The 23,372-nt window shown below is 35.6% G+C and overlaps 1 protein-coding gene across 14 annotated transcripts in view; it reads right to left on the reverse strand.

Moving 5' to 3' along the window:
• The window catches only part of MAP4K5 (mitogen-activated protein kinase kinase kinase kinase 5), a 142,606-nt gene that overhangs the window by 23,922 nt on the left and 95,312 nt on the right, over positions 1-23,372 (reverse strand). For 7 of the 14 annotated variants that reach the window (XM_047430897.1, XM_047430896.1, XM_006720013.5 and 4 more), the window contains 10 exons: positions 21,610-21,691; positions 20,223-20,339; positions 14,074-14,152; positions 6,332-6,390; positions 4,972-5,039; positions 3,637-3,679; positions 2,599-2,752; positions 1,497-1,594; positions 1,287-1,328; positions 290-374 (listed from right to left, as the gene is read on the reverse strand). In XM_047430897.1, coding sequence (XP_047286853.1) covers positions 290-374; positions 1,287-1,328; positions 1,497-1,594; positions 2,599-2,752; positions 3,637-3,679; positions 4,972-5,039; positions 6,332-6,390; positions 14,074-14,152; positions 20,223-20,339; positions 21,610-21,691 — 827 coding nt within the window. Of the gene's footprint in view, positions 1-289; positions 375-1,286; positions 1,329-1,496; positions 1,595-2,598; positions 2,753-3,636; positions 3,680-4,971; positions 5,040-6,331; positions 6,442-8,832; positions 10,810-14,073; positions 14,153-20,222; positions 20,340-21,609; positions 21,692-23,372 lie in introns of those variants that run through there. The other 7 variants (XM_047430898.1, XM_047430893.1, XM_047430891.1 and 4 more) reach the window with 2 other exon arrangements.

The following is a 23,372-nucleotide window of genomic DNA, read 5'->3' on the forward strand; positions in this document are numbered from 1 at the left end:
AAATTGTCCCAATAACGTCCTTTTACGGTAAAAGAAAATTCTAAATTAAGGATGCAATCAGTTGTGATTTCTCTTTAGTCCTTTAATCAAGAATAGCTCCTATACACTCCTAAATTTTAACGCCTTTAAACCAAAACCCTATTGACCTATTTAGGTTGTTGCAGGTTCCTATACCATTAGGTCTCTAAAGTCGTATTTTTAAAATAAACAACTTCAAGTCACTGATCATAAAGATCTTTCCCATAATAAATATTTTATTGGAGATGTATATAAAATTCAAACATTTTACCTTTTGTATCAGGATGTATCCAGGATGTTGCACAATTAATTTTCAAAGGACAGCCATCAAAAACTTTTGAAAAGCATGCTCCCATCTTATTTATAAAGAAAGAAATGTTAACTTATTTGATTAGAAAATTTTATATATTCTTGGAAAATAACTAACATCATTGAAATACCAAATTAACTCTTATTTGCGTATGCTTGTTGTTTCATTCCAAAACAAAATTCATATTTTCACATCATTAAACCCCTACTACCAAGACAGTCTCATATTCTTTCCTTTTGTAATCCACTATTTTATGGCACAAATATCAAATTTACCAAAAGATCTACATACATCAATAACATAGTCTAGGAATTTTAAGTTACTACTATTTTTTAGGACTGACAATTATTAATGTGAAACAATGGATAATTTTATTCAGTAACATTATAGTGATTACAATTGCAGTATAACTCTTTAATAGTCATAAGAGACAAAAAGGTTGATATTTATATTATACATTAGACTTTCACTGAATAAAAAAGGACAATGTATAAAGCATCCCATTCATACGATTGGTTCCCATCCCATTCATGGGATCATGGGGTTCCCATTCACAGATAAGTTCCACTGACTGGCCAGGAAAATGCATTAATATAAGCTTCCCTGGTTCCTTTTAATTGTATATAGTCCAATGTGAAAATCACTTTAGAGGTAGAAAGATATTTAATCCACATCAAGAAGAGGACACAGTACTATTAATATCATCGCATTAAAATTAAATAGGCCTTTGTAGGCTAATCTGATGACTCAACTGCCAGTATTTACAAAAAGTGAAACACTGTCAATTCCAATTCACACACTCAAATTAGAATACATGATGAGATATCCAAATGCATTCAATATCTTTGTATTTTATGATATCTTAACTTTCAAAGGCTCAAGTATATTGATAGCCAATATATTGCTGCTTCTAAAGAGAGAAAAAACGGCAAATAGTTCACATAAAAATATTCCTTACCAGAACTTTTGGGGTGGGTGGAAGGCCATTGATGGCTGGTTTCTATGGGAAAAATAAAATTTACTAGTGTAAGACCTCCTAAGTCTTAAAAAGAAACTTGAGACATTTAGAACTTCTGTTACTTGAATTACTGAATTAAACAGACTATGCCCCTTGCATGATAAATATAGTATTATTTACAACTAATTGCTAAATGCCTGTTATACCTACAGGGAAGTCTCGTTTGTCCTTTTTTCGTGGTAACTGTGGTGCTTGTGCTGATCCTTCTGTATTTTCACTCATCAGTTTTGAAATACCATCACCATTTCCTAAAGAGAATCATGTTAAAAGTTGAATGACCACACAAATAAGCACTTTCCTTGAAAAATTATTTCCCCTTTCTCCCACTATTTGTCTTTCACTTGGGTGATCCTTTATTGGGGAATATTCTCTACTCTCAGGTAAGTTATCTTTGGTGTCTTTCTCTAGATTCTATAGAGGTAGCATTGCATCTTTAGCAGTGGTCTTAATCCATGTTTTTCCGTATCATGAAGAAAAAAAATCTGACCTACTGACTCTGATATGCAAGGCTTTTTATAATTGAACTTCAATCCACCTTTTCAGTTGTATCTTCCAGTATATACCCTTTAAAAGCTCACATTTCTATTATAATAGACTGCATAATTCAGATTTCCCAGCTTCAGTGCATTTCATCTACCTACTGAAGGCTCACCAAGCCCTTTAACATCCTGCAAGAAGGACCAGGTACGGTCACTCATGCCTGTAATTCCAGCACTTTGGGAGGCTGGGGCAGGCGGATCACTTGAGCCCAGGGGTCTGAGATTAGCCTGGGCAACACGGCGAAACCCCATCTCTACAGAAAAAAAAAATCCTGCAAGAGCTTAGTTTCCTTATTCCCCATCTTTATCTCCCTCAGAAATCTCTGGTCTTCTGTTACATCCAGGTAATTATTTCAGAAGACACATACATAAACTGTCTTTCCTAATGTTATGTGTATGTGGGTATACCTTCTGCTGTAGACCCTGAAGTTCTGGGGGCAGAAACATGCATTCACCCTTCTAGATCCTATAATAAATATTTAGTAAGGATTCAAATTAGGATTGAAGTGAACTGAAATCTATTTATAGCCCATCCATGCAGAATTAAAGAGCCTTTACAAAGCTTTAAGCTATAATAGGATTGACTAAATAAAAAAGATATTTTTTGAAATAGGAACAAATGACTCTCATTTCAGTTTTCACTTTGATTTATTCACCCAGATAACAATATCTAGCCATATGTACCCCATGGCTGCTAATAATGCTAGCCATACCAATAGAAGAAGTCTCTGCCACAGGCCCACAACTTGGGCTACTCTGTCTTCTGAGAATTTGGGGAGCTCTGCTTTCTGAATCAGGACAATGTTTTATGGTTGATGCTTTTTCTTCATCCGGAAAGTTGTCTTCAGGGTAACTGCTTATCCTTGGCTAGTGGTACAAAGACAAAAAAGTACTTTAACAGTTATCATTAGGCATCAGAGTCTTTAGGGAAAGGGAAATGCACCTTTTTTCATTCTTCTATACAGTTCAATTCACTGGGCTAAGTGAGCAAAGTAAGAGGTGAGTTACTGCCCAACACAACTATCAACTTGCCATGTGATTTTTAATCAGCCTTAAAACTGATAAAATTTTTATAACTAATATAATTATATAAAAATCCACAAAACAACTAGAAACAATCAAGAAAAATGACTCCACTAATATGTCAAATTGTAGTCATAAGAATGATAAATGATGAACTGTTTCCCCTCCATGTAGTCAAATATTTTCTTCAATAAGCAATAACCTGTTTTTGCCTTTTTCTTTCTTTCTTTTTTTACTGAGATGGAGTCTCGCTCTGTCACCCAGGCTGGAGTGCAGTGGCACGATCTCAGCTCACTGCAACCTCCACCTCCTGGGTTCAAGCGATTCTCATGCCTCAGCTTCCCAAGTAGCTGGGATTACAAGCATACGCCACCATGCCCAGCTAATTTTTGTATTTTTAGTAGAGAGGGTTTCACCACTTGGCCAGGCTGGTCTCAAACTCCTGATCTGAAGTGATCCACTTGCCTTTGTCTCCCGAAGTGCTGGGATTATATGCGTGAGCCACCAACCACGCCTGGCCGCCTTTTTCTAATAGCTATTAAAAATATTGTATTCCTCATGAAATCTTCTTTACTATATATTTTACACCATCATACACTTCTTTTGAAGAAAACTCTATTCATCTAAAATACATTTAAGAAAATTTTGAAAAAACTCAAAATTATTTTAAAAATTTAACTATATTATTTAAATAAGGATTTAGTGTTCAAAATCATTAAGTAGCTCACCTTAGGAGGTAGGGGAGGTGGTATTGCACGTTTTGAGGTTGATCTAATACAAAGAAGAAATGCAATTTAGATGATGATAAATGACCGTAACCGAAAACACAGATACTATTAAATATGTATTAAAATCAGTTTCTATACAGAGGATGTAAAAGACAGATCACGATGCAGAGTATAAAATCTTTAGGAAGACCTAAGACCTCACTCATATTGTCAAATTGTATGTCTATAAAATAAAGATTTTAAAAAGTGGACACAAAGTCTTATTTTACTTTTATGGTTATGCTTTGCTATATTTCTTATGTAATAAAAACTAAGTTAACTTCTTGGTTAAAAAACTGATTCAGAATTTTAGAGTTGGGACCCATAGATTCAAGTGGGTATATCATCAAACCTTTTGTTACTCAAAGTAGATCCTCAAACCAGCAGAATTGGCATCATCTGGGAACTTTTCTAAATGCACAGAATCTTCCTTTTAATAAGCTCTCCAGGTCAATAAGTTTGAGAAGCACTTATCTAGTCCACTGGTCCCACACACTTATCCACAGTCATTGCAATCAATTAGGCGGCTTTCAGGATTCTTAGATCCAGTCCCAAAGACTGTATTCTATACCAGAGGTTGGCAAACTTTTTCTATGAAGGGCCAGAGAGTAAATACTGCAGGTTTTGCAAGGCATACAGTGGTTGTAACTATGGAACTCTGCTGTTATAGTGTGAAAGCAGCCATGTACGATACATAAACTAATAAGCATAGTTATATTCTAACAAACTTATTTATGACACTGAAATTTGAATTTCATGTAATTTTCATGTGTAATAAAATATAATTATTCTTTTGATTTCTTTTCAACCATTAAAAATGTATTTACTATTCTTAGTTTGTGGGCTGCCATAGTTTGTTAACTCCAAATGTATAGGCCTAATGTGGGAACCTAGGAATCTGCATTTCTAAAGAGCTCTGTAGGCAATTGCAGTACACAGACAGGTTAGGAACAACTCATGAAGGCCAGCCCCCTCACTTAATTGTAGAGGTAACTATATTGGAGAGATGAACTGGGGCTTTTTAACTCTGTTACAGTATTTTTTCCCATGACATCATGTGACTCACCTTTCAGTATATTATCATTACATAGCATATTCTGATTAAAAACAAAAACAAATAAAAAACCTTAATGATCAATACATGATGCTTTTTGGTAAAACTCAAAAGCTTTACCTTCATTAATGGCATAACTTTTTCAAGAATGCAAATTAAAGCTTATTAGAATAAATCACATGCCCCATACTGTTCTTATGTAATCAAATAAAATATAGTTATTAAATTAGAAAACAACTTACTTGCCAGTATTTGCACCATCAACAAAAGGATTCCACTGTAACATGAAATTTGGGTCTGATGACAATCCCTGTAAAGATAAAAATATAGTTTAAAATGTTACTTTGTAACAGGTATTAACCATTTTATTTGATTCAAGAAAACATTCCAGTGTCATGATTATTAATCATCTTGGCATTCAATCAATTTTTTAATCTCTAGCTAGATTTGCTTTGTCATTTGACATATTTAGGTCAATGACTCATTATCAGTCGACCTGAACTTAAGAAATTCCATAAACATACTAAAGGTAGCTTCAAATGTGACAAACCTTCTTTATCAGTATGTGAGCATATTCCAAAGCAAACAATAAAAGAAAACAACTGAATTATCTACATCATCACTCCATTAGCATGGAAAACTAAATATCATATTACTAAACTGTCATGAATTTACTGGTGCTACTACTTTTCCCTCTTAGCATGGAAACTGGGGTTTTATCATACAGCAACATATTTACAGTAAGAAGAGCACTACTTCCAAACATTAAGGATGAACTCAATAGGCTAGGTTAGGCTAACTCTAATAATATCTTGCTTCATTACTTTTTTCTTTTTATTTATTTATTTATTTTTGAAATGGAGTCTCACACTCTGTCGCCCAGGCTGGATGGAGTGCAGTAGCTTGATCTTGGCTCACTGCAACCTCCACCTCCTGGGTTCAAGCAATTCTCCCTGCCTCAGCCTCCTGAGGAGCTGGGTTTATAGGCACATGCCACCACGCCTGGCTGATTTTTGTATTTTTAGTAAAGACAGGGTTCTGCCATGTTGGCCAGGCTGGTCTGGAACTCCTGACCTCAGGTGATCTGTCTGCCTCAGCCTCCCATAGTACTGAGATTACAGGAGTTGGCCACTGGGCCCGGCCACTTTTTTCATTTTAGATAAGGAAAGAGGTAACTAGATAGTAAATTCAAAATAGCAGCAATGGTTAAAAAAGAAACTATATTAACAAATAAAATATATTTAAAAAATAGTAAGGCAATACAGAATGTAGAATTTACTATAAAACAAACAGAATCAGTTAAAAAAAAAAAGGTCCTAAGAGCTTAAAGCTGAGAATCAAATTCTGCGTATTTAATAACATCATGTAAAACCTTCAAAAGACTAAGGAGGTTAAAATGAATGATTGAAATAGTGTATTACATCGTACTCTAGTAAAAATAAAACTAACTATAAACTTTTAAAAACTTTAATACGGGAAAAATTGTCAAAATTAATGCTTAAAAGAGTATATTACTTTGTTTTCTAATCAAAGTACAACTAACAAAAAAAAAGTTTTCTCAAATCTTAATGTGAAAATAATGCTTTAAAAATGAATTCTTACCATTTCATCTCGTGCTTCTGTTTCTTTTCTCAGAGGAGGTTCAAATTGTAATTTGTCAACTGCAAAATATATAACAGGTATGTACAAACTCAGCATCTCAAAGGGTTGATCTCAGAAATGTAATGACAAGTTTGTATATGGGGTGGGGGAGGGAGAAAGAAGAGGGGAAAGAAGACAAAAAATATGTTATTTTTTGACTACAAGAGTACCCCTTTGTTATGCTTACCAAAAGTAAATAACAAAGTGGGATCTTCCTAACATCTCTACTTAATTCTTGTTTGGAATCAGGAAATTAAACAGTTCTTTTTGTATAAAAGAGATTTTTAAAAATTCATCAAAAATAAATGACTAAGTAAAAACTTTAAGAATTTTCTCTATGCTGTAGACTCTGTTTTGAGACGGTTTAAGCTACAGCTTCATGGCAGAGATGAACTAAGAAAAACTACCTAAAAATTATCTAAAAAGAACAAATGACTTCTGTTCAATTAAATGTCACAATGGCATTCAGGAATCTGATATATTTTGCTAAATATGTATTTTATTTGGCCTAGTCATACTGACTTCAGAGTTATTCAAAATATTCAAAGAGTAACTTCTTTTCTATAAAATATTCTAAAACATAGAAAAGGAGGGTTTATTACTTCCTCATAAAGTATTTAAAATTTAAAAATTCTAAAATCTAATGTGATTAAAAGCCCCCCAAATTTTTTTAAACACTCATACTTGCATCATAGAGATGCAAAATTCCTAAATACAATCTTAGGAAACAAAATATTTTTAAAAAGCGCTTTCAAATAGGATCCAGTTGTCCTTATTCCTAAAAACAAGATTTGTAAAAAGCAAACACAAAGTACTGACATAATTCATCACATTAAACAAAAACAGTATGTCATAAATTTTTCAATAAAAGTTTAGAAGACATTCCATAAAATACAGTATCTACTTTAAAAAATAATCTAAAATAAAAAGTCCTGGGACATTAATGACTTAACGTAATTAAAAAACATCTGAATTCAAGAACTACTACTATTCATAAAGAACCTCTTTAGTCTTTTGAAACAGAGATGAGCTAAAGTTTGTTTTTGTGACAACCAGAAACACTGGCAAGCAGGTCTAGAGCTGCATTTCACATTACATAAAATGTGAAAATAATATATTACTTTTTTGTTGTTGTTGTTGTTGTTGAGATGGAGTCTCACACTCTGTCGCCCAGGCTGGAGTGCAGTGGCGCAATCTCAGCTCACTATAACCTCCGCCTCCAGAGTTCAAGCTATTCTCTTGCCTCAGCCTCCCGAGTAGCTGGGACTACAGGTGCCCGCCACCACGCCTGGCTAATTCTTCCATTTTCAGTAGAGATGGGGTTTCACCATCTCATGAGGTTTCCTGACATCAGGAGTTCCTGACCCCAGGTGATCTGCCCACCTAAGCCTCCCAAGGTGCTGGGATTACAGGTGTGAGCCACCACACCTGGCCATTTTTAAATAACAGAAATTGGACTTACCCTTCTGTATAAACAGCTATCTACATGTAAACATATATATGTCTGCATGTTTGTGTGTGTACAAACTAAAGCAACTGTTTGGAGGCAATGCACCACAGACACCGTAAGTCTGTGATTCTTAAAAGAAGGAAAATACATGGTGGTAAGAGCCATATTTACCCTGACTTTCTGCCTGGGGGCACTTTCCAAACTAGGACACAAGAAAATGGAGCCCACAGAGAAAGTAACAGTCTCAACAGGTGAACGGAACAAGGATTTGAATTTAGCGCTGCTTAGGTAGAGGGCACAGTCCCAAAAATAAGCTGTATGAAGGATGAACTCCAAAAATATGCAAAGAAGTTTTCTTAAGTCTTTGGCTGAATACTAAGGGCAAAGCAAGAGTATGCAAGTTATCTCAGAAAACAGCTAACAGAGCGCTGTGAGCTTCTGGAAATCCCACAGTACCAGGAAAAATTTGGCTTTCTACCTGAGGAAAGACCTTGCTGAATACTCTACTAAAACCTGACACAAGCCTTGAAAGGATTAAGTAGACATACCAGGTAATTAACTCTTTAAAGAAAGAGGATAAAATCCAGATGCTCAACATTGTATTACATTGTCCAAGATACAATAAAAAAGACAACCAAAGAAGCTAGAAAATAGGAACCATAACCAGTTGAAAACAAATTAGTAAAACCAGACCCAGAGGTGACACAGATGTTAAAATCAGCAGACAAGAATTTCAAAACAGCTATAAATATGTTCAAGGATTTAAGAGAAAAGATAGACACAGTAAGTGAGCAGATGGAATAGCTCAGTAGAAAAACAGAAATTATATATATGGATGTGTGTGTATATACAGGTATAGTACATATATGACTGAAAGTCTAGATCCAAAAAATGCTTGCCTGAAATGAAATTCACTGAACAGTAGACTCAATACTGTAAAAAAGATCAATAAGCTTCAAGTCACGGCAACAGAAACAAAACTGAAGTACAGTGAAGAAAAAAAAAAACTTACGTGTGGATACATGAAGAAGAGTGTAGTGGGAGTACAAAGCCTCCACGACCTGTAGACAACATTCAGTGTTCTTACGTATATAACTGGAGTCCCAGAAGCAGAGGAGAGAGACTGGGGCAGAAATTTTGAATAAATAGTGGCCAAGCATTTTCCAAATTTGATGAAAAATATTAACCTACAGATCTAAGAGGCTCAATCAGCCCAAGATAGAATACAAAGAAAAAATGCAGACACATCACAAATTGCTTAAAAACAAAACAAAACCCACAAAAGTTTCATACTGCAGTACCTCATATCTTTTTTTAAAAACTGAGTTGATGTCATGAATTGGGTTATAATTGGCAGCTTTAAAAAATACTCATGTAGAAGAACTTACAGATATGTTACAGGTTTTTTTTTTCAAAAATAGTTATTCTGTCAATATAGGCTTTTATTTGGTAATTATAGTCTATTTTTAGGATGAATATAGCTTGTCGAAAAGCCTCAACTATACCAATGGTTAAAAAAAAACAAAACGTGTCTTGAGTTTGCGCTTCCTACTTGGGAAATCTGTGATTACTTCTCTGGAGACAGAAACACTTACCTCCCTAGAACTGTTACTAAAGAGATTTGTAAGACAATATAGATGCTTCCTAACTGACAAAGGCTTGACTTACAAGTTTTCTGACTTTCTCGTGGTACAAAAGTGATATGCATTCAGTAGAAACTGTACTTTGAATTTTGATCTTTTCCCAGTCTAGGGATATACGGTATGATACTCTCTTGAGATGCTGGACAGCGACAGCAAGCCGCAGCTCCCAGTCAGCTACCCTAACATTAAGTATTCTGAGCGTGTTTAAGCTGGCTGGGCTAAGTTATGATGTTTGGTAGGTTAGGTATATTAAATGTTTTTTTGACTTATGATATTTTCAACTTAAATGGGTTTATTAGGATGTAACCCCATCATAAATCGGGGAGCATCTGTACCTCTCACTCAAAATCTCTATTGCCTTTATCACTCTTAGCCTTCAGGTAAGATAAAAAGGACAAATAGAAATCTCAAACTGAAGTTGGTTAAACTTTCAGAAATCCTGAGACTTCCTTAGCCTAAAGGGTTTTTTGTTGTTGTTTTTCTCTTTTGCCTGAATGACAAGTGACGGCAGTTCCCCTGGAGCTCATTAACTCTATGAACCAAAATCTGGGCATCCTATACATCTGGGAATACTGCCATCATCTCAAGTTACTATGTTTATTACATTTCCAGTTATTAACTGTAACTCAGAGTACACACAGTTTTCCATTCAAACAGGTCCAGGAAGCATTTCCTCTGAAACAACCTTTATATTAAAATTCAGAGACTGTCTTCTGGAAAACTGCCCTCTAAACTCAATAAATAGAATTTTGCCAGGTGCTGTTAATAACTAATGCAACAGTAAAATAGGGTGTTGATCCCTGTATTCATGTCTCTCAAACATAGAGACATACGCCAATCTTAAATTGCTGGAAGACTGTCCCAGCAGGACACCTCAAAAAGAGGTGACAAGGAATCCTTCTGAAGCAGATGACTACAAAAAGAAGAGGGCTTCCACCCAAGTCAGTTGGACCAAACTGATAACTACATGAAAAGTCTGCCCAAGACCCATGGAAAGATAACTGGAGCCACTGGTTGTTTTACTTTAACCTGCAACAACAGTACTTTATTTCTTAGTCACATTTCCCCCCACTTTTTGCTAGCTGGAGGTTTTGGACTGTTGACAGATGCTTGTTACTTCTTTATGATGATACCTGTAGAGTCCCTATTCTTACTATTGCCCTTTGCAGCCTTAGTCAGTCTGGAGAATGAGTCTAACACCTGGCTGAAATTTACTTGTGAGTCAGCTAAAACTATACAATTAAACTAACTGTTAGGCTTATACTCTTCGTGAATACCTCCTACCTTCCCTTGGTGCCAATTCCTTGTAATCAGCTGGTTTCCTAGGTAACGACTCAACCACCAATACACTCTTCAGATGACAAACCAAAAAAAAAAAAAGAAAAAAAATTAGGTAATTTAGCTAATACAGTCATATCTGAATCAGACTGAGAAAGTAGGAAATCTGTCTTGCCATTCATAAAGCTGAAAGGACAGACACAAATCCAAATGCAAAGTCAACAAGAAACAATGTTTCTCCCAAGGATACTTTGTACATGTAAAGTTTCATATAATGACCCCCTCTGAGTTATTCTGCTTTCTAACTGAGAAATGTCTCTCTCTCTAAAATCACTGACTGCCAGAAACATTGCTACATGAAATCACATTTAGAATGAATCATCCTATTCTTGCCTGGACTAAATCACTGACACAGAGAAACAGACTCAATTTCCAGTCCAGATGCAGAGCTTCAAATAAAGGCATTTCTGAACACAACACTTCAAAAAGTTTCCAAGGAAACATACTCCCGGGTTTACTTTAACAGCGGAGACCTGATGTTCACCCTTTCAGATACATCCCTACTTTGCATTAAGTCATCATTTAAAATTCACCTGAACTCTACTCTTTCCAAAATCCTGTATTTCTTTTCCCTTGTTTGATGAAATCTTGAATGGTTTGGTTCCTCTGGTGTGTGTTCTCTCTCACTGCAGGGAGTCAGTAAACCTGACTTTGTTGGACTACACATTTGCCCCTGGTGGTCTTAGACTGATTGGGTGTGATTCATAATAATCATTTATGTCCACTAAAAATACACTGTAAAAATGCTTACAGTAGTCATAATAGCCCAAAACCAGAAATAAATCAAATGCTCATCAACAGAAGAATGGATAAATTGTGGTATGGTCATACAATGGAATACTACAGTGTAGTGAAAACTGAACTATTACTACACATGACTCTAACAGACATAAAGTTGAGTAAAAGAAGCCAGGAACAAAAGTTGCTTTTTGTATAATTCCATTTACCTGAAGGTCAAGATCAGGTAAAAGCCAGTTTATGTGACAGAGATCAGAATAGTAATTCGCCTGGGCGGAGAGAGGGCAGGCGAGTATAGAATTTAAGAAAACTGATTGTGAAGGCTCTCGTGAGGGAACCTTCTGAGATTCTGATCATGTTCTAACTCATATTTTTAGCTGGGTGGTAGTTATATGAGTGTATATATTTAAAAATTTACCCTGGAGTATTCGTAAGATTTGAGCATTTTACTGTATGTAAGCTACCACTTCAATTTAAAACACTGAAACAAAAAACAGAGTAGAAATAAATAGTATAAAATCTATCAAACCAACAAAAGCAAAGTGGTAAAACATTCCTGATAAATACAAAAGAAGTTTCACAAAAATTTAAAGACAAGTCATTAATAAAGTGACCTTCTACTCTACCGCTTTGTCTGGTGCTTTAAGCAACCAGAACTTACTCTATGAGGATATTAGTATTTTGGGCTAATATTATGGAATATAAAAGAACTAAATCTTATCTCTGAAGAAGCCTATTTTGATTAAGAAGACTGAATATCATAAATATGTCAACTCTCCCAAAGTAATAAGATCTGTGTAAAAACAATGAATTTTTCTGTTTTTTTTTAACCACATAAGCTGATTCTTAAGTTTATGTGGGGAAGAAGGCACAATAGCCAAATGTCATAATGAAAAAGAAGTGTGACAAGGTACATATGTGTGTGTTGTGGGGAGGGGCAGAGAGTAGGAGTAGGATTAGTTCTAACAGATATTATCAAGATATAATAATCAAAAGTATGCTACTGGCACAAAAACAGACATGCAACAGAATAGAATTTCCAGAATAGAATAGAATTTCCAGAAACAACCCTAAAATATCTATGCCAATTCGGTATATAATAAAGATGGCATATCAAATCCATGAGTAGAAAGATTGCATTTTCAATAAATAATGAAACAAATGAGTAGTCATCTAGAAAGAAACTCAAGTTGAATCCATACTTCTTACCTTCTACCAAATAATGTATATCAGGTTTTTAAATATTAAAAAAAGAAACTAAAAACACAAGAAGAAACAATAGGAAAATTATTTGATAACTCTGGAATCGAGAAAGCCTTCTAAATATGACACAAAACCCAAAACTATACGAGAAAAGATAGATAAAATAGACTACATTAATGGAATACTACAGAACTGCATAAAATAAAGAATATGATGTTACAATGGAATATCAACTTTGTTACTTTTCTCTTTAGTATTGGAGGCCCACAGACTTCACCTCAGATTATAAAAGGAGAGAACAGCATAAGAAGATATCATCAATCTAGGCACTAACAAAGACACTAAATCTTGAATTACTGGCTTAATTATGAAAAGGCCTGATTGAAACAACTGAGAAGGGAAAGATACTCTAACTCTCTAGTGACTAAGAGTTTTAAAGCTATGTCCAGAAAGCTAGAAATGTTTGGGTTTATGAAAACTCAGACTTAAACAAAATGCACACTGGCAATCATTCTAATTAGCTCAAATATTTAATGAATTATTTTCCTCTAGTATGGTTTACAATTTTATTTGATTTTGTTAGTCATAAACCTTATTTTAATATAAACTACTTTAAATCTCTCAGAACAAGTATTCATTTAAGGCAATAAACCAGAGAACTAAAACGTCTTTACGAATCTGTAGTTCTAAATTAATTTAGCTAAGGTGACAAATATTGATAGAAAATTTTCATCTGTCAATGATTATTAAATTAAAAACTAATCTCGCTTTTGAAATATTTCCTTTAGAAAGATTCATCTTAGTGCTAATCTGATTTTTAAAACCTGAAACCAACCCAAATGTACAGTGAGAGTAAACTGGCTAACTACAATATATCAATTAATGAAACAGAATGCAATCGCTAAACAGAATGGTTATAAAGTCTATACTAATATATGGAAATTAATTCTATTGTTAAGTGAAATTTTATGCATAGCATAAATTCAGCCATGTAAAAATACACATGGAAAATGAAAGAAATGTGGCAAAATATTAACTATGGGTTGGCTCTGGGTGATGTGATTGCATGCAATGTTAATTTTCTCTTTTTTTTCTTGCAGATTTTCAGCAATGGGCATGATTTTGTCCATAACTGGAAAATAAAAATTATTCAGAAATTACAAACCAAGGGAATTCCATCGAAACCAGAAAAGCAACCCCTATTTTAAAAGTATTCTGATATGTTGAAGTATGTAGCCTTAGTCTGAAATTTTATTATTCTACAAAACATACAAGAACACGCAGCACAACCCTCCAAAACCACCAATGGAAAATGTAAACCAAACACATACAATTTATTTCTGAAGCTGTCCGTTCAGCTCTGGCATTCCTGTTTGTAGATCTAATGGTATGACGAATGATTGCATGGGGCTGTGAATATAAGCATAATATATATACTTTAACAAATTTCAATGAGAAAGTTAAAAGGTCAAACTTTCTTATCATTTATTGATAAATATGAATATCTACTAGTAAATTATAGGATAAACATAAAACAAATACAATGAACGCTACAATACTTCGGAAGTTTTTTCACTTGTTCCATGTTTATACTGTATAAAATACTGAAGAGATTCAAAGACAGACACAAATCCTGTCCTCAAAGAGCTTACAGTCTAGGAAGATAAGACACACAAATACAGATAAGAAAATGGCAAGTGCCTTTCATTAACAGGATAAATGGACTACTATTAAAGCCCAGTGAAGGGAGAAATGACTTTGACCTGAAGGGGTATAGTTCTTCATGAAAGCTGTAATCTCATCTGGGGCTCTGAAGTACCAGTATGTACTGAATATGCAGCAATGTGGGAAAAGCATTTTAGACAGCAGAAAGAATAAGAACAAAGTGATGTAAGAAATAACAGGAAATTGTGGAGTGTTTGTAGGCAGTGGGGGTTGATTATTATTTGTTTGCAGTGAAGATTAGGTGATGAGATGACAAAGATGGAAAGACAGACCATGAGGGTGAGCCCAATCGACAAAGGCTCTGAATGTCAGCCTGGGGCTCTTCACCTCAGTTTCTTGGCAAAAGGAATTTTTTGGAGACTTTACAGCAAGGAAGTGGCATTGCCAATGTCAGCTTTAAGAGTTATCTATTAAATATGTATGAGACTATGGAGGGGAGAAATATTGGATACAGGGAGATTGAGTAAGAATATTGTAGTAAGCCAAGTGAGAAGCATAATACTTCTACCCACCACGCAGAACCTCCTGCCCCTTAGGCCTTCAGCTCAACCCCTATTTACCAAATTTCTGATGACTCACTGTCATTCACTGATGACTCTCAAAGTGGCTCATTTGTTCGCCCCTTACTTCAATACCCACCAAAACACCAAATAAATTCAAAGCCCCAGGAGGATCCATTGTTCTAGACTTATTTTCTGACCCCATCTTTAAAGACACTCTCATATATTTCAATGTACTCTCAACTCCTAAAAATCACATCTTGGACCCTGTCATCAACTCTAACACATGAATTTCCTCTATATTACAAATCTCTGATCTTTTGAGCTTACTCTCTCACTCCCATAACACTTGTTCAATGTTCCCATTGGAATATCAAGTCCATTGATTCATTATTTTCTCACTCTCCATCAACATCTCTCCTTATCCAGTTTATGTCTGGTAGCACATAATTTCAAGTAATTTCTTGCAAAAATTCTAAATTCCCTTTGCCCCACTGTCTTTTAGTACACTGGGACAGCAAAATGCCAATCCTGGATAAACTCAACTGGTTACCTTTGCGTTTACACATCTGGGGTATCAATCATGCTGGAGGAAAATTACACAGCAGAACACACTGAAAATTCATCTAATCTGAGCTCCGACTTTGCCCACAAACACTTCTCTAGTCATCTAACCCTCCATTCCCCTCAATTACTATTCTGTACCTTCTTCACATTCTTCAAACCTACCCATTTTCCTTCATCCGTACAGATGACCTCACCACTTACTTCACAGAGAAAATAGAAATCACCAGCTACACTGCATTATCAACCATCCCTTTCTCTAATGGAAGAGCAGTGTTGCTTCTCCCTGCTTCCTTCTCATGGACTCTGCCTTTCCATCTTGCTTCCCTTGACTCTTCTATCTATTTTGGACAGTATTCATGAGCATTTAATACTGTTCAAGCAATGCCCCCCACCACACACACAAAAAAATCCTTCTCCAGCTTATTCTCTTCCAGCTACTGCTCTATCCTATCCCTCCCTTCACAACTCAATTTCATAAATGAATTGCAATACATATCTTTCAAATCACTCAATCTAGCTCCCCCTCCTCTATTAGAAAATTATCTCTGTTAAACTCATCAAACACTAACCACCTAAAGCCAAAACTAGTTTAACTTAATTTCTATGTTCTCATTGAAACTCTCCTTTCTTCTTTCAATGTTCCTTATCAATCTCCTTTGCTATTGCTCTTTGCCTACTTGATCCTTAAATTTTGGGAGAAATGTCAGGTTTTGTGCTAGGCTCTCTTCTCATTCTACATGCTTCCCTTGGGTGATCGATCACATTTACTCCTAAGGCATCAACTACATGTGTATCTAATCACTCTCAAATTTATATTTTTATTATTTTATTTACTTTTATTTATTTTTTTGAGACAGGGTCTTGCTCTGTCACCCAGGCTGGAGTGCAGTGGCACAATCATGGCTCACTGCAGCCTTGACCTCTTGCATTAAAGTGATCTTCCCACCTTGGTCTCCCAGGTAGTTGGGACTACAGGAACCCACCACCAAGCCTTGCTAATTTTAAAACATTTTTTGTAGAGGCAGGGTCTCACTGTGTTGCCCAGGTTGGTCTCCAACTCCTTGGCTGAAGTGATCCTCCCACCTTGGCCCATCCTAAACTACTGGGATTACAGGCATTAGCCATCATACCTAGCCTCAAACCTGTATTTTTAGTCCAAACTTTTCTCTCCAAGCTACAATGACATATCTAGCTCCTTACTAGACTTTTCCATTTGGAAGTTCTATGCAACATCTTCTTCAGTATAAAACTTAACTCATCTTTCTTTCCAAACCTGATTTTACCATAGTGTTCCTATCTTAGTAAATAGTAAATATATCCATCCAACTGCTCAAGTCAAAATCTGGTAGTAATTCTCTTCTTATTCCTTACCTTCATGTCTTCATCCAATCATTAACTCTCTAATTCTTAAATTAATACACTTTTCTCCATCCTTGCTCTACCATCCTAGTTTACCATTATTTTTATCTTGTATAATTTCAACAGTCTTTTAACAGGTTTTCAGTAATGAACTCACCATTCTGAAGTCACTGAGATCTTTAAAAAATGCACATTTTGATTATGTCACTCCCTTACCCTTTAATGGCTTTCTACTACCCTTAGACTAAAGCCCAACATTTTAAATACAGTTTGATAGACAGTATCTAGCTCTGTATCGTTATCTTCTACCACTTCCTTCTTCCTTGTTTTCTGCCCTAGTCAGACTGACTTTTCTTTCTTTCTCTTTTTTTTTTTTTCCTGAGACAGGGTCTCATTCTGTCACCCAGGTTGGAGTGCAGTGGCGCGATCTTGGCTCACTGTAACCTTTGCTTCCCAGACTCAAGCGATTTTCCAGACTCAGCCTCCTGAGTAGCTGGGACTACAGGCGTGTGCCACCATGCCCAGCTAATTTTTTGGTATTTTCTGTAGAAATGGGGTTTCGCTACGTTGCCCAGGGTGGTCTTGAACTCCTGAATTCAAAGTGATCCAGCCGCCTCAGCCTCCCACAGTGCTGAGATTACAGACAGCCACTGTGTCCAACCCAGACTGACTTTTCTTTAGTTCCTTATGTACACTGCCTTTTCCCTTATCACTAGGCTTTCAAACATGTTATTAACACCTCTGCTCAGGCCACTTACATTTATTCTCTTCCTCTAATTCTGATTTATCCTTCAGGTTTTCAGCTTAAATGTCACTTCTACAGTAGTGAGTTTTTTCCAGTCCCTATGATATCCCTCCATAGCACCTTTTACCTCCCATTCCATCACATGTGTAAATTATTCGTTGGTACTTCTGAATTTCCTTTGAGACTATACTATGAGCGTTATAAAAGCAGGGATAATGTTAGTCTCATATACCATTGTGCCCCCCCAACTGCCTGGCACGTGGTTTTGCATTTCGAGAACTGAAAAGTATGGTGACATCATTAAACAGAAATAGAGAATTCAGAAAGTAGAGTGGATTTGGGAAGCCCAGCAAAACGAGATAAAAAATAAGAGGTGTCTGGTTATTTACATAACTAGTGAAAGGCAAATTGGAGAATAGAGTAATATCTAATTCTACATTTATGCAAGAATAACTTTACTAAGTTTTGGATCTTTAAACAATTAAAATATTTACTAATCCCAAGTTGCAAACAGTGGTTCAAGTAGAAAACAATTTTGTTTGGCTGGTTTATTTAATATTTCCACTTCAAGTTCATTTAACGTTCAACTAAATATTCACTGGGTACTCATGACATGACAGGATTATGCTATATACCAGGCAATGGGGAAATAAAGACTGGAGTTTAAAGATTGTTCAATGACTATTTCTATTAAATACATACATAGATATGATGGTGTATTAACTAAGAGAGTAGGCTCTGGAGTTTGCCTGGATCTAAATCCTGGTTCCATTTCCTATTGGCCATATGATGCTGGGCAAATTACTTTCATTTTTTGTCCCTCGTTTCCTCATTTATAAAACAGTATAAAGGACTGTTTTGATATTAGATGAGTTAACATAGAAATTATTTGGCCTAATACTTGGCATACATTGAGTACCCAATGAGTGCTAGTAGTTACTATAATATTTATTTATTTATTTAAAGACAAAGTCTCACTCTGTTGCTGGGGTTGGAGTGCAGTGGCACAATCTCAGCTCACTGCAACCTCTGCCTCCTGGGTTCAAGAGATCCTCCTGCCTCAGCCTCCCAAGTAGCTGGGACTACAGGCGCCTGCCATCACATCCAGCTAATTTTTGTATTTTTTTCAAGTAGAGACAGGGTATCACCATGTTGGCCAGCTGGTCTTGAACTCCTGAACTCAAGTGACCTGCCCATCTTGGCCTCCCAAAGTGCTGGGATTACAGGTGTGAGCCACCGTGTCTGGCACACAGTATGATATTTATAGGAAATAATTTAAAGCTGAAAAACAGGAAATAGAAAATTCCCTTTAGTGAAGGTAGAGATAAAAGGGAAATAAAATAAATAAATAAATAAATAAAGGACATGAAGAGACAAATTCAGAAAAACTTAGAAATAAAATGGAATCATAAAAGGAGAAGAAGGAACATAAGGAGAGAAAGAGACTGGTGAAAAAATATAGCTGTGCTATAGTCATAAATAGATACCTGTCAATGAAGAGGAAGTCTCTCATTCCTGATTTCCTGACAAATTGTGTTGTTATAGAAAATACATTACAGGCCAAGCATGGTGGCTCACGCCTGTAATCCCAACACTTTGGGAGGCTGAGGCAGGTGGATCATGATGTCAAGAGATCAAGACAATCCTGGCCAACTTAGTGAAACCCTGTCTCTACTAAAAATACAAAAATTAGCCGAGCGTGGTAGCAGGTACCTGCAGTCCCAGCTACTCAGGAGGCTGAGGCAGGAGAATCACTTGAACCCAGGAAGTGGAGGTTGCAGTGAGCCAAGATTGTGTTACTGCACTCCAACCTGGCGACAGAGCGAGACTCCATCTCAAAAAAAAAAAAAGAAAATACATTAAAAATAATTCTATAATGTTTTCAGAGAAGGCAAGCACAGTTATGAATAGCCCTACAACTAATTATATAAGAAATAATAGTTTTGAAATACTGAAAAGGATAACATTTTCCAACAGGAACTTCAGCTTCATTCTTTAAAATTATTTGTATTTTGTTAATACAAATTCAACTACAAAAATGCGCAGCTGGATTTCGAAGAAGTCCTTTTCATGAAAAATAATATGCATATGTGTTGTGGCTACACTTTTGTTTTCTTGGTTGAAAGCAAGGCTCTTAAAACCTTTATTTCCTTGGAAACAGATGTTCTTTATATATATCCCACAGAATGATCAAACTCACTACAGAAGCTGAGGTCTAGAGATAAGGGCAATCACTAAAAGGGAAAGCACCTCTGCATTTCTGCAGAGGGACCCCTGATTTCAATCTCAGCTACCAAAACTTCAGGCTAACCAAACTAAGAACATAAAAAGAGACAGTGTTAAGAACTAATCCTAGTTCTAAGGAGAACTAGGATAAAAAAAGTATCAACTGGTTATACCACAATAAAAAAGTATCAACTGATAATTATGTGCAGGAAAAGTGTAGTTTACATTATTAATCTCTGTAGCTAAACCTGTTTTAACTAAGTTAAAAGATAGACTCAGAAAACAAAGAAAAAAAAGCAAACTTTAAGGCCTTATAAAACATTTATTTTCAACTATGAGACTGCAAACACTTCCTTACCTCAAAGTCATCGTCATCTGCTTCAGTGTAATGTGCGTGGTTATCTGGATTGTTCACTTTGTCTAACAGTTCAACTGCTAGGGCTCTAGAGAGACCTGGCTGTGCAACAAAAGTGTGCTAAAAGACAACAAAATGAAATTTCATGAGTATGCCTTTACATCTATGGCTTAAAGAAAATGCTATCTTCATTTTTTCATTCAGTAACTAGCAGAGACAAGTATATGGGAGTCTACTAACACAAATAAACTGTGTTAGTAAAAATATTAATCAGAGAATCCATAATTACACATTATATAAAACTGAAGAGCCTTTGTAGGGTAAATTTAGAAAGCAATTTCTTTTTGTGAAGTTATCTAATCCATATTAAGTTCTAAAATTAATATAGATTAGATATGGCTATACCAATGACATTCATTACTCATATCACTATACTGATGCAAATGAATACTGTGGTATGGTACATAATCACAATAAGAAAAAAGCATGTATATCATATATCTGCATACATTTAATTCTGTAAAATTATGTTAATTTACAAAGACATATATAATTAAATATTGGCATGTCAGTAAAGCTTCTTAGGTTGTTGTAATCACTGACTATTTCTAACATAAAAGTGTTTTATACACACACATATGCAGAGTATTCTATAAATTTACATTAGAAGACAAGAAAAGCAATTTGTTTTAGCTGACAGCAACATTTTAAAGTTTTCTCTAAGGCAGGGGTCAGCAAACTACAGCCCATGGGGAAAATCTAGTGCACTGCCTGCCTCTTTTTGTAAATATTTATTGAGTATTAAAACTATACCCACATATATACACTGTTTATGGCTGCTTCTGGGCTATAATGGCAGAACTCAGTAGTTGTGGCAGAGGCTGTATGGCCCACAAAGTTTAAAATATTTACTATGTGACCCGCCTATAGAAAATTTGCTGGTCAGGCATGGTGGCTCATGCCTGTAATCCCAGCACTTTGGGAGGCTGAGGCGGGTGGATCATTTGAGGTCAGGAGTTCAAGACCAGCTTGGCCAACACGGTGAAACCCTGTCTCTACTAAAAATACAAAAATTAGCCAGGTGGTAGTGGCACGCGCCTGTAATCCCAGCTACATGGGAGGCTAAGGCAGAAGAATGGCTTGATCCCAGGGGGTGGGGGTGGAGGCTGCAGTGAGCTGAGATCATGCCACTGCACTCCAGTCTGGGTGACAGAGTGAGACCCTGTTTCCAAAAAAAAAAAAAAAAAAAAAAAAAAAAAAAAAAAAAGTTTGCTGACCCCTGCTGTAAGAGATCACTAACATTTTTATCTTAAAAACATAAATACTTTTGTTCTACTGATATGTCTAATTTATGACTATAGGAAGACCCCTCGTAATTTCAATGACTTACAGTCAGAAGTCTTTCAGCAGTTGGTCTTTTTTTTGGGTTTTTGGTTAGTGCTATTTTGACAAAATTATGGAATGTTGATGACCTTAAAATAAAAAGAGACGTACAAAAATATTTCACTACTATTACGTTTCGGTGTTAGTAAATAACATTAACTTAGGAACAGTTAGTCTAAAACACCATGATTTTTTATTGGGCCACTTAGTTAAAGTACAATATATTCCGTGGAAACATCTGTGTCAGTTTTGTCTTTCATATAAAATACAATTAAGTAACAGAACAGTAATATACAACCACAAAAATTACACTAACAATCAGAAATAGATAGGCTGTGTCATTTATATATGACCTTCTTTTCTAGGTACTACTTAGGAGTCAAAATGTCCTTTTCTCATTGCATAATTTACCTAGTATGTAAATATTGTGCTATACCAAAAGAGTTGGACGGCACGAAAGGTAGGCATGGGGTAATATAAGAGACTATTTAAATCCCAAAGAGGCTGATGAATTTCTTAGAAAAAAAGGCAAAGAGGAGGGAGCAATTTTAGCAACTAGAAGGGTTTTCTGCCACCTTCACTGATGAAGTGGGGAAAGGAAGAAGACATAAATTAAAGGTATCACATTTTGATTATTAAGAAATGACACAAAAAGGTATTTCTACCATTGCCAAGATTCCACTGGAGAGAATGGACAAGAACTAAAGGTATGAAATAACCGTATTTATCAGCAATGACAACCACCACACAGCAGTTCTCTGCAGAGAAATCACATCACTGCATCACATTTGGTGGCTTGCGATAAAGATAACATGGAGTCAGACAGTATCGGGACTGGCAAAGGTTCTCCAATGGTAATAACTGCTCTGAAATCTGACTGTGAATTTAGCATTTATAGCTAACAGTCATTCATTCCTGAATGAATATCAGTCATTCCTGCCGTAAAACCGTTCAGTTCCAGATGTCTAGGAACTTAGAGCAACAGGGAAAAGGAAGGACCCAGTGTCAATACAAAGGAATATAATTAGCAGCACAATATAAACTCCTTTCTTTCCACGGTGTGATTTGCCATTCTTTCCTGTCATCATCCCCAGAATGGCTTGAGTCCTAAATAAAACTATGCTAAGACAGACTACTGAAACATAAAGCAGTGGTTGAGAACCTGTTTGTGGGGAGGGGCCTCTTAGAACCTGAAATAAGCAATGGACTGTCTTCTCAGAAAAATGGATATACATACAGAATTTTGGGGGCTCACAGATCCTCAAAGATCTATGTAATCTAGATAAGGAATTCTAGAATTTAAGAACTCAGAAACTTATTTGCACAGCTTCTTTTATTAAATGTATGGGGAAGACATTACCAGAAAAATAATCTTTAATTTTTATTAACCAATTGATGACATCTTTTTGGACTATAAAGATAGGTAAACTGCTTTACTTTGTAAGAGAAAGAAGGGATCAAGATGAAAATAAGTAATAATCTTTTTGAGTATTACGTAAGGAAGAGAGGGAAAAACCAACAGAGATTGATTTTAAGTGTCATGTTATCTGGAAACCCTTTTCATATCACCTTCCATGAAAGTCAATGTGTAATTAATGGAAGTAAAGGAAGATAGAGCAAAAATAGATGATTCTTCAAAATCTTCATGTAATCACTTCTAATTCTTTCCTCACCACACTTCTTACCCAATCTGCCGAAGACCTAAGAAAATTATTGAGTTTTATGAGAACACTGGATTATAAAGAACACTGGGCCGGGTGAGGTGGCTCA

The sequence above is a fragment of the Homo sapiens genome, chromosome 14 (assembly GCF_000001405.40).
Source record: "Homo sapiens chromosome 14, GRCh38.p14 Primary Assembly".
NCBI lineage: Eukaryota > Metazoa > Chordata > Mammalia > Primates > Hominidae > Homo > Homo sapiens.